Consider the following 12,450-nt stretch of genomic DNA (forward strand, 5'->3'; position numbering starts at 1 on the left):
CAAGCGACTCTCCTGCCTCAGCCTCCGAGTAGCTGGGATTACCGGCATGCACCACCACACCCGGCTAATTTTTGTATTTTTGGTAGAGACAGGGTTTCACCATGTTGCCCAGGCTGGTCTCAAACTCTTGACCTCAAGTGATCCGCCTGCCTTGGCCTCCCAAAGTGCTGGGATTACAAACATGAGCCACTGCTCCTGGCGAGGCTGAAGGACTTTCTGGCTGACTAGAAGAGCTACCCCCAAGTGTTTGGGCCCGGAGTGAGGAGAGTAGCACTCTTGTGCAGGATATTGATTTCACGGAGGATGGTGAGCGAGAAACCACTATCTGGGGGGGGATATCTGTGGTGACGAGGATTTATTTGACTGTAATGTGCTATGTACGATGAACGACTGAATGTACGATGAAAAGTACTGGTCGATATTCCTGTGGGAAGGTATGTTCTTTGGAAGTATGGAGTTGATGTATTATAATTAAGGTTTTATGGTTCTGGCTTATAAGCATGTTCTATGAACAATAGCTGTGAAAAGTGCTTTCATATGTGCTATGTACAGTTAAACACTTATAGTACTATATAATATTCATGGTGGCTAGCAGTAAAAGACAGAGCCTGGACATTGGAGAGGGTAGCCAGAGGTACCTGGCCTCCTTGGCCCACGCTGGTGAGGCCTGGCTATGGACACAGGCTCCCTGAGAAGCACTGAACACAGCTGCAAATCCTCAAATCTCAGTTATCTAGGGATGTCTGTCCTGGCCTCTGACCTGCCTGTGTCTACAGAGACAACTCTGGCCCTCAGGACCTGAGTGGTGGCTGCATGAGGGGGCACTTGTCCCTTTCCTGCGGTCTGGGTAGAAGGAGCCCTATAGTTGAAGAAATGCCCATCTGCGGGCTCTGCCTAGCCCTGGACATCCTCCTGGGGCTGACTTTGAGCATGAATCCCACATCTTCTCCAGGATCAGGCCCATGACAGTCATGCCCTCCTGAGTGCCAGTGTCCCCAGTACTATCCAGACAGCACTGCCTTTAGCTGGGCCAGGCTTAAGCTGACACTAATTGGCTTTTTTCCCCACAATAAAGACACTGAAAAAAACCTCCTCATCCTTTCACCTGAGGTACTTTTGTACCCCGTTCGAAAGGAGAAAATGTGCAGAAACCAGGGGGTCTTGCTTACAAGGGTATCTGCTAATCCCCTGGCCTGAGCAGGGAGATGCCCGCACCCTACATCCCCTACTCAATGCTCTCCTCCTTTGGGGCTCCTAGGGTAGCCTCTCTCTTGACTTGTGGCTAAATTCTTGTCCAGGATTTTTCCTGAGGCCTGAAGATTTGGGATTCTGGTCTGCTGGGCCAAACTGCTCCCTTTGGCCTCTGTGTAGACACACAAGACCTGGGAAATTATCATGTCCTGCTGAGCACACTCTGGGGATAGGATTTTTTTTTTTTTAGACAGAGTTCACTCTTGTTGCCCAGACTGGAGTGCAATGGCATGATCTCGGCTCATCGCAACCTCCGCCTCCCAGGTTCAAGCGATTCTCTGGCCTCAGCCTCCTAAGTAGCTGGGATTATAGGCGCCCACCATCACACCTGGCTAATTTTTGTATTTTTTAGTAGAGACGGGTTTTCACCATGTTGGCCAGGCTGGTCTTGAACTCCTGACCTCAGGTGACCCTTGGCCTCCCAAAGTGCTGGGATTACAGATGTGAGCCACCGCGCCCAGCCGGGAATAGGATTTTGAGAGCCTAGAAGCAAGGCTATCTGAGGCAAGGGACACTTCAATGAGAAAGTCCTAAGGCTGACTGCAACCTTACCTGCAATTTGAACCTTACCCTTCTTAGAGACTGCATGAGGAATTTCTGCTATTGTGATGCCTGTGTAACCATCCCTAGAGACAGGCATGCATGCACAGAGCTGTAGAAAAGTCAAGATAGTAAAAGAGCTGTGGGAGAGACTAGTTCAATCTGGTCCTGAGGGGTTGGGGTCTTTATCGGGTTTTCTCACATTGATAAGCCCTTGAATGTTTTTATAGTAGGGGTGTGTGTGTATGTGTGTGTGATTTTGTAATGACAGTACTATGACAATCATTTGCTCATCTTGTATGACAGTAATATCCCCTTAAGGCTTGGCCATCCTGGATCTTGGGCAACCAGTATTCTTGGTTGGGGAGTATTCCTTAGTCACCGGAGCTCCTTGACTACTCAGATAGGCATTTATCTCCTGGACATCTTCCTGTTGTGGCTTAGGAACTGAAGTCTCTTTGGACTTCCTACCTCCCTGTCTTCTTCGGCTCTTAAAGAAATACCTAATCTCCCATATCCTTTTCCTAAAGAAAAAACTCCAAGAAGATGCTATGCTCTGTGGTGAGCCCCTTCTGCCTCCAGACAATGCTCCTCCATGGCCAGAGTCTGTTGGGATACAACTCCACTCTCATCTGTTGGGTGTGTCCTGCCTTTGTCTAACTTGAAGTAACTCTGGACTGCCTCTCTTGGCCCTCAAATAGTCCCACTCTGACACGACTTGTCCATGGAGAGGGCAAAAGGAGCTAAAAAGTTTGTTTGCTCTCCTCCTTGAACTCAGGGTCCTCTGGACTTCCTTGCTCACAGTTGAGGAGGCAGGGAAAGGACTTCCAGGGTGGGGGTTGAATTTCTTGTGATCAGCTTATCTCCCGACCTGCCTGTTTGTTTCAAGGAACTAAGCAACCTCAATTTAGCCATCCCTGAAACATGGGTGGCTGAGGGATAAAGGTGGACTTGGGAAAGGAGCCATGATTGGGTCTCTATCACCTTAAGTTTTACAGATTCAGAGACTTTAAAGAGGTAAACTCTATCTCTGCCATGCTCAAAACCATACCACTTAGGCTTCTAGTGCCTGTGTAGCACCTGCATCAAGAAAGGAAAGCTTCCAAGAGGTATTTAGGCAGTGTTCCTGCACTGAGGGTGCCAAATTTCCAGTTTTCAAGTAGCTATAGGACTTCCCAGAAGGGAGCAATATATCACTGTCAGCAAGCTATGAACAACACACATATATAGGCCACCTGCCCAAGTGAACTTTCAGGGTGTTTTCCAGTTGCTTCCAGTCTAGGTTCTCTCTTGAATGCATTTATGTCATTTCCTGACCCATTCCTTGAGTGACTCAACAAGTCATTTTTTTTGGTCTCCTCTGATGAATCAGCCCCCAAAACCCCTACTGAGTAGCTTTCTGAACACCTTGATAGGTTACCTTTGGGACTCTTTCTCAGGCTATGCCTCAGACCCTTCCCTAGGTCATTCTGAAACTTGGCGGGGGGCCCCTCATATGGAAGCTTCTTGGGTGCCCAATCAATTCTTCCTTAGACCCTTGCTGCTTTGACCCATAAGTACCTTGAGGGCTGTAAGAATCTATGATTGTTCCTTAGCTGAGATGTGTCTGTTATTTGCCCTGAGGCTGCATCGGCACCAAAAGCTCTTGGATCCTCTAGGCCAGGACCCACTAGTGCTACATGAGCCTCTTTCAAAAGCAGTGCTCTAGTTGGTTCCAAATATTATTGCTTATAGGAAATTCTCTAGGAAGAATAGAAAATGGCACATAGTCCTGGGAGGCCAGGCTGTACTGAACAAGGTTGGGAGATGGAAGACAAAATTCTTCCTAAGATCTCTGAATTACAGAGTAAAAACTAGAAATTCTCAACAAATGTTGAGCTTCAATTGGGGTGACAGACTATACCTCATTCTGCGTCCTAGGAAAGGATACCCCAGAAGCCTTAATCTGGGGTGAAAAAGAAAGTAATAGGAGCAGGAATGAGGATTGAAGGTGGGCCCAAGGTAGGTGCTGGGATGAAACAGAGTTTGGGGCTGGGGGAGCAGTGGGGAACCTTTAGCCTGTATTTAAACCAGAAAGTGAAAGTGGGCATTAGAGATTCTACTGACTAAAACAAAGAGAGACTCCAGTGCAAAATAATCACCAGAAGTCAGGACAGTAGCCACCAGGGCCTCACTGTGCAGAGGTGAGACTCCAGGAGAGATGGTTCCATCCCCCAAGATTTTGGAATTTGGGAGCTGCTGAGGATGTGCAGCTGCTCTGGTTTGTCTTTGGTGCTCCACAGTGGTTGGGAGCCTATGTTGTCCTGTATGCCAGCAAGTGACTCTAAAATAGTTCCAGAAAAATTTATGTATATACCCCTCCAGCAAAGACTGGTAGACTCATTGGGTGCAATCACTTAATGAAACCTCTGTCTAGTCTTTGGCTAAGCTAGCCAAGCAGACACTTCAGTGGCCACACACAACAAAAAAAAATACACAATTTACACAATTAGTAAAGTCACGACACAAGCAAACAACAATGACAAATAGCAACAACAAAGCTTGGGGTCGGGGTGGGGAGTCTGATTTCCAGAAATGCCACATTATACTTGCCAGGCCTCTGAGCCCAAGCTAAGCCATCATATCCCCTGTGACCTGCATGTACACATCCAGATGGCCGGTTCCTGCCTTAACTGATGACATTCCACCACAAAAGAAATGAAAGTGGCCTGTTCCTGCCTTAACTGATGACATTATCTTGTGAAATTCCTTCTCCTGGCTCATCCTGGCTCAAAAGCTCCCCTACTGAGCACCTTGTGACCGCCCCCCCTGCCCGCCAGAGAACAACCCCCCTTTGACTGTAATTTTCCTTTACCTACCCAAATCTTATAAAACGGCCCCACCCCTATCTCCCTTGGCTGACTCTCTTTTCGGACTCAGCCCGCCTGCACCTAGGTGAAATAAACAGCCTTGTTGCTCACACAAAGCCTGTTTGGTGGTCTCTTCACACAGACGCGCATGAAATTTGGTGCTGTGACTCAGATTGGAGGACCTCCCTTGGGAGATCAATCCCCTGTCCTCCTGCTCTTTGCTCTGTGAAAAAGATCCACCTACGACCTCGGGTCCTCAGACCCACCAGCCCAAGGAACATCTCGCCAATTTTAAATCGGGTAAGCGGCCTCTTCTTACTCTCTTCTCCAACCTCTCTCACTATCCCTCAACCACTTTCTCCTTTCAATCTTGGCGCCACCCTTCAATCTCTCCCTCTCTTACTTTCAATTCCTTTCATTTTCTGGTAGAGACAAAGGAGACACATTTTATCCTTGGACCCAAAACTCTGGCGCCAGTCACGGACTAAGGAAGGCAGCCTTCCCTTGGTGTTTAATCATTGCAGGGACACCTCTCTGATTTTTCACCCATGTTTCAGAGGTGTCTGACCACATGGGGACACCTGCCTTGGTCCTTCACCCTTAGCAGCAAGTACTGCTTTTCTAGGGGGCAAGAACCCCCCAACCCCTTCTCTCCATGTCTCTACTCCTCTGCTTTTCTAGAGGGCAAGAACCCCCCCAACCCCTTCTCCTTCACCCTTAGCTGCAAGTACCACTTTTCTAGGGGGCAAGAACCCCCCAACCCCTTCTCTCCGTGTCTCTACCCCTTCTCTGCTTTTCTGGGGGCAAGAACCCCCGATCCCTTATTTCTGTGCCCCAACCTCTTATCTCTGTGCCCCATCCCTTATTTCCACGCCCTGACCCCTTATCTCTGAGCCCCGATCCCTTATTTCCATGCCCCGACCTCTTATCTCTGCGCCCCGATCCCTTATTTCCGCACCCCAACCTCTTATCTCTGTGCCCCGATCCCTTATTTCCACACCGCAATCCCTTATTTCCGCACCCTGACCTCTTATCTCTGCACCCCAACCCCTTATTTCTGTGCCCCGACCCCTTTCCTGCTTTTCTGGAGGGTAAGAACCCCCGAACCCCTTCCCTCCGTGTCTCTACTCTCTTTTCTCTGGGCTTGCTTCCTTCACTATGGGCAACCTTCCACCCTCCATTCCTCCTCCTTCTCCCTTAGCCTGTGTTCTTAAGAACTTAAAACCTCTTCAACTCTCACCTGACCTAAAATCTAAGCATCTTATTTTCTTCTGCAATGCTGCTTGACCCCAATACAAACTCAACAGTAGTTCCAAATAGCCAGAAAATGGCACTTTTAATTTTTCCATCCTACAAGATCTAAATAATTCTTGTCATAAATTAGGCAAATGGTCTGAGGTGCCTGACGTCCAGGCATTCTTTTACACATCGGTTCCTCCCTGGTCTCTGTTCCCAATGCAACCAGTCCCAAATCTTCCTTCTTTCCCTCCCACCTGTCCCCTCAGTCCCAACCCCAAGCATCACTGAGTCTTTCTAATCTTCCTTTTCTACAGACCCATCTGACCTCTCCCCTCCTCACCAGGCAGAGCCAGGTCCCAATTCTTCCTCAGCCTCTGCTCCCCCACCCTATAATCCTTTTATCACCTCCCCTCCTCACACCTTGTCCGGCTTACAGTTTCATTCCTCAACCAGCCTTCCCCCACCTGCCCAGCAATTTCCTCTTAAAAAGATGGCTGGATATAAAGGCATAGTCAAGGTTAACGCTCCTTTTTCTTTATCCGACCTCTCCCAAAATCAGTTAGCGTTTAGGCTCTTTTTCATCAAATATGAGAAACCCAGCCCAGTTCATGGCTCGTTTGGCAGCAACCCTGAGACGCTTTACAGCCCTAGACCCTGAAAGGTCAGAAGGCCATCTTATTCTCAATATGCATTTTATTTTATTACCCAATCTGCTCCCGACATTAAATAAAACTCCAAAAATTAAATTCCAGCCCTCAAACCCCACAACAGGACCTAATTAACCTGGCCTTCAAGGTGTACAATAATAGAGTAGAGGCAGCCAAGTAGCAATATATTTCTGAGTTGCAATTCCTTGCCTCCACTGTGAGACAAACCCCAGCCACATCTCCAGCACAAAAGAACTTCCAAACGCCTAAGTCGCAGTGGCCAGGCGTTCCCCCAGGCCCGCCTCCCCCAGGAGCTTGCTACAAGTGCCAGAAATCTGGCCACCAGGCCAAGGAATGCCCGCAGCCCACGATTCCTCCTAAGCCGCGTCCCATCTGTGCAGGACCCCACTGAAAATCAGACTGTTCAACTCACCTGGCAACCAGTCCCACAGCCCCTAGAACTCTGGCCCAAGGCTCTCTGACTGACTCCTTCCCAGATCTTCTCGGCTTAGCAGCTGAAGACTGAAACTGCCCGATTACCTCAGAAGCTTACAGGACCATCACAGATGCTCTAGGTAACTCTTACAGTGGAAGGTAAGCCGTCCCCTTCTTAATCAATATGGAGGCTACCCACTCCACATTACCTTCTTTTCAAGGGCCTGTTTCCCTTGCCTCCATAACTGTTGTAGGTATTGGCGGCCAGGCTTCTAAACCTCTTAAAACTCCCCAACTCTGGTGCCAACTTAGACAATACTCTTTTAAGCACTCCTTTTTAGTTATCCCCACCTGCCCAGTTCCCCTATTAGGCTGAGACACTTTAACTAAATTATCTGCTTCCCTGACTGTTCCTAGGCTACAGCCACACCTCATTGCCACCTTTTCCCCCAGTTCAAAGCCTCCTTCACATCCTCCCCTTGTATCTCCCCACCTTAACCCACAAGTATAAGACACCTCTACTCCCTCCTTAGCAACCAATCATCCACCCCTTACCATCTCATTAAAACCTAATCACTCTTACCCCGCTCAATGCCAATATCCCATCCCACAGCACACTTTAAAAGGATTAAAGCCTGTTATCACTCACCTGTTACAGCAAGGCCTTTTAAAGCCTATAAACTCTCCTTACAATTCCCCCATTTTACCTGTCCAAAAACCAGACAAGCCTTACAGGTTAATTCAGGATCTGCACCTTACCAACCAAATTGTTTTGCCTATCTACCCTGTGGTGCCAAACCCATATACTCTCCTATCCTCAATACCTCCCTCCACAACCCATTATTCTGTTCTAGATCTCAAACATGCTTTCTTTACTATTCCTTTGCACCCTTCATCCCAGCCTCTCTTCGCTTTCACTTGGACTGACCCTGACACCCATCAGGCTCAGCAAATTACCTGGGCTGTACTGCCACAAAGCTTCACAGACAGCCCCCATTACTTCAGTCAAGCGCAAATTTCTTCCTCATCTGTTACCTATCTCGGCGTAATTCTCATAAAAACACATGTGCTCTCCCTGCTGATCATGTCCAGCTGATCTCTCAAACCCCAACACCTTCTACAAAACAACAACTCCTTTCCTTCCTAGGCATAGTTAGATACTTTTGACTTTAGATACCTGGTTTTGCCATCCTAACAAAACCATTATATAAACTCACAAAAAGAAACCTAGCTGACCCATAGATTCTAAATCCTTTCCCCACTCCTCTTTCCATTCCTTGAAGACAGCTTTAGAGACTGCCCCCACCCTAGCTCTCCCTGACTCATCTCAACCCTTTTCATTACCCACAGCTGAAGTGCAGGGCTGTGCAGTCAGAATTCTTACATAAGGACCAGGATCACGTCCTGTAGCCTTTTTGTCCAAACAACTTCACCTTCCTGTTTTAGGCTGGCCATCCTGTCTCCGTGCAGTGGCTGCTGCCGCCCTAATACTTTAGAGGCCCTTAATATAACAAACTATGCTCAACTCACTCTCTACAGTTCTCATAACTTCCAAAATCTATTTTCTTCTTCACACCTGACACATATATTTTCTGCTCCCCGGCTCCTTCAGCTGTACTCACTCTTTGTTAAGTCTCCCACAATTACCACTGTTCCTGGCCCAGACTTCAATCCGGCCTCCCACATTATTCCTGATACCACACCTGTCCCCTATGACTGTATCTCTCTGATCCACCTGACATTCACCCCATTTCCCCATATTTCCTTCTTTCCTGTTCCTCACCCTGATCACACTTGGTTTATTGATGGCAGTTCCACCAGGCCTAATGGCCACACACCAGCAAAGGCAGGCTATGCTATAGTACAAGCCACTAGCCCACTTCTTAGAACCTCTCATTTCCTTTCCATCATGGCAATCTATCCTCAAGGAAATAACTTCTCAGTGTTCTATCTGCTATTCTACTACTCCTCAAGGATTATTCAGGCCCCCTCCCTTCCCTACACATCAAGCTCGGAGATTTGCCCCTACCCAGGACTGGCAAATTGGCTTTACTCAACATGCCCCGAGTCAGAAAACAAAAATACCTCTTAGTCTAAGTAGACACTTTCACTGGATAAGTAAAGGCCTTTCCTACAAGGTCTGAGAAGGCCACTGCTGTCATTTCTTCCCTTCTGTCAGACATAATTCCTCGGTTTGGCCTTCCCACCTCTATACAGTCCAATAGCAGACTGGCCTTTATTAGTCAAATCAGCCAAGCATTTTTTCAGGCTCTTAGTATTCAGTGAAACCTTTATATCCCTTACAGTCCTCAGTCTTCAGGAAAGGTAGAACGGACTAATGGTCTTTTAAAACCTCACCAAACTCAGCCACCAACTTAAAAAGGACTGGACAATACTTTTACCACTCTCCGTTCTCAGAATTCAGGCCTGTCCTCAGAATACTACAGGGTACAGCCCATTTGAGCTCTTGTATAGATGCTCCTTTTTATTAAGCCCCAGTCTCATTCCAGACACAAGACCAACTTGGACTGTGCCCCAAAAAACTTGTCATCCCTACTATCTTCTGTCTAGTCATACTCCTATTCACTGTTCTCAACTACTCATACATGCCCTGCTCTTGTTTACACTGCCAGTTTACACTGTTTCTCCAAGCCATCACAGCTGATATTGGTGCTATCCCCAAACTGCCACTCTTAACTCTTAAAGTAAATGAATAATCTTTGCTGGCAGGACTATGCTGAATCTCCTTAGGCACTCTCTAATTAGATGTCCTAAGTCCTCCCAATTCTTAGACCTTTAATACCTGTTTTTCTCCTTCTCTTATTCCGTTTAGTTTTTCAATTCATACAAAACCATATCCAGGCCATCACCAATAATTCTAAATGTTTCTTCTAACAATCCCACGATATCACCCCTTACCACAAAATCTTCAGCTTAATCTCTCCCAGTCTAGGTTCCCATGCCGCCCCTAATCCCGCTCGAAGCAGCCCTGAGAAACATCGCCCATTATCTCTCCATACCACCCCCAAAAATTTTTGCCATCCCAACACTTTACCACTATTTCGTTTTATTTTTCTTATTGATATAAGAAGACAGGAATGTCAGGCCTCTGAGCCCAAGCTAAGCCATCATATCCCCTGTGACCTGCATGTACACATCCAGATGGCCAGTTCCTGCCTTAACTGATGACATTATCTTGTGAAATTCCTTCTCCTGGCTCTTCCTGGCTCAAAAGCTCCCCTACTGACCACCTTGTGACCCCCACTCCTGCCCACCAGAGAACAACCCCCCTTTGACTGTAATTTTCCTTTACCTACCCAAATCTTATAAAACGGCCCCATCCCTATCTCCCTTGGCTGACTCTCTTTTCGGACTCAGCCTGCCTGCACCCAGGTGAAATAAACAACCTTGTTGCTCACACAAAGCCTGTTTGGTGGTCTCTTCACATGGACGCGCATGAAAATACTGTTCTAAATGTCCAGTTTTCAACAACTATAAGACATGCAAAGCAAAAAAGAGAATGGCCTATATACACACGTGAAGGGAAAAAAGCAATCAACAAAAAGTGACTCAGGAAGCCCAAACATTTGATTTACTAAAAAAACTATAAGTCAGCCTTGAAAAAAAAATTATAGAGGCAAGGTCTCACTATGTTGTCCAGGTTGTTCTCAAACTCCTGGCTTCAACAATCCCCCCACCTCAGGCTCCCAAAGTGCTAGGATTACAGGTGTGAGCCACTATGCCTAGCTAAATCTACTATTTAAAATATGTTAAAAAAAAAAAAAAACAAAACGAAGAAAAACTTTGTCTAGGCCAAGCAGTGGCTCACTCTGTAATCCTGGTGCTTTGGGAGGCTGAGGCAGGTGAATTGCTTGAGGCCAGGATTTCGAGACCAGCCTGGGTGACATGGGAAGACCCCATCTCTACAAATACAATGAAATAATTAGCAGGGAATGGTGGTACCTGCCTGTGGTCCCAGCTACACAGGAGTCTAAGATGGGAAGATGGCTTGAGCCCAGGAGATTGAGGCTGCAATGAGCCATGAGCCACTATGCTCCAGCCTGGATGACAAAGTAAGAACCTGTTGCCAACAAAAAAAAGACTAAAAACCTTAAGAGAAGTGTGGAAATAATGGCTCACTCAATAGAACTTATCAATAAGGAGGTAGAAATTATTTTTTAATAACCAAATAGAAACCCTGGGGTTGAAAAGTATAATAACTGAAATGAAAAATTTGATAGGAGCTCAAGAGCAGAGTTGAGAAGGCAGAATGAAAATCAGTGAACTTGAAGGTTCACTGATTATCCAATTTGAGAAACTGAGATTATCCAATTTGAGAAACAGAAAGAAAAAAGAATGATGAAAAATGAACAAAACCTATAAAACCTGTAGAACACCCTCAAGTATAAGAACATAAAAATAAATAACAATAGCCTGAGAAAGAGAAGAGAAAGGCATAAATATTTGAAGAAATAATGTTTGAAAACTTCCCAAATTAGATTAATCTACACATCCAAAAAGCTCAATGAGCTCCAAGCAGGATAAACAACAAGAGATCCACACCTAAACACAACATAATCAAACTGTCAAAGACAAAGAGAAAAATATCATCTTGAAAGAGGCAAGAGAAAAATGACTTTTCACATACAAGGGATCCTCAATAAGATTAACAGCTGATTTGTCATCAGGAGCCATCGAGAAGGCAGGGGATGGGCATACTAAGAGTACAAGAGAAAAAAGTCTATGCCCAGCAAAACTGTGTATCAAAATGGGGAGTTGGGGGGTACAGTATGGAGAAAAGCACTGCCATAGGACAGCTGAGACTATGGCTGAGAAGGTGTCAGTGGACAGCATGGAGAAGGAGGCTTTTGCAGCAGCTGAGGAGCTGGCCACTCAGAAGCATGAACCAAGACTGCACAAATTCTGGGAGCTGCACCTGAAAGAGACTGAAGCTTGGAAATTAAATCGCCAAGAAGTTGTGGAGGACGATAAAAGACTTAAAACTACCTGCAAACTGGGAAGTTAATAAGGCTCATTTCAAATGGGAATTGCAGGAAGAAGGAGAAAAAAAAAAGAATGTTCACAAAAAGACTATGAGAAAAGATACAGAAAGATGGGAGAGGAAAAGGAAAAACTCCAATCTGGGATTTTTACATTATGCCACTTCCCAGTTACACCAGTATCATTTGTTGACCAAGCAGATCAAACCTGACATAGAAATATATTAAAAACTAAGAGAAAAATATGGAGAGGAGTTCTATACAACATCTAACAGCCTTCTTCATGGAACATATTTGCCTTCCACAGAGAAAACTGATAGGACAGAAAAGCAAATTGAAAACTGAGATGAATATAGCTGGAGACACCCTTAGGATGATGATGCAGATATCAACTACTAAACATTTAAAGAATTAACAACAATCCTTCTTAAACTCTTCCAAAAAAATGAAGCAGAGAAAAACTTTCTAACTAATTCTATGAGGTTAGCA

The 12,450-nt window shown here is 46.0% G+C and overlaps 2 pseudogenes, besides 1 other annotated feature; one reads left to right on the forward strand and one right to left on the reverse strand.

Moving 5' to 3' along the window:
* Positions 2,430–4,082, reverse strand: LOC100420114 (SPATA31 subfamily D member 1 pseudogene; annotated as a pseudogene).
* Positions 4,412–4,912: an enhancer, noted in NCBI's record as "OCT4-NANOG-H3K27ac-H3K4me1 hESC enhancer chr9:35003321-35003821 (GRCh37/hg19 assembly coordinates)". NCBI's record gives its function as "activates a minimal SCP1, AML or CMV promoter by ChIP-STARR-seq in primed H9 embryonic stem cells {active_cell/tissue: H9 hESC(primed)}" and the evidence as "EXISTENCE:reporter gene assay evidence [ECO:0000049][PMID:30033119]".
* On the forward strand, positions 11,823–12,357 carry SYF2P2 (SYF2 pre-mRNA splicing factor pseudogene 2; annotated as a pseudogene).

This window comes from Homo sapiens, chromosome 9, assembly GCF_000001405.40.
Source record: "Homo sapiens chromosome 9, GRCh38.p14 Primary Assembly".
Classification (NCBI taxonomy): domain Eukaryota; kingdom Metazoa; phylum Chordata; class Mammalia; order Primates; family Hominidae; genus Homo; species Homo sapiens.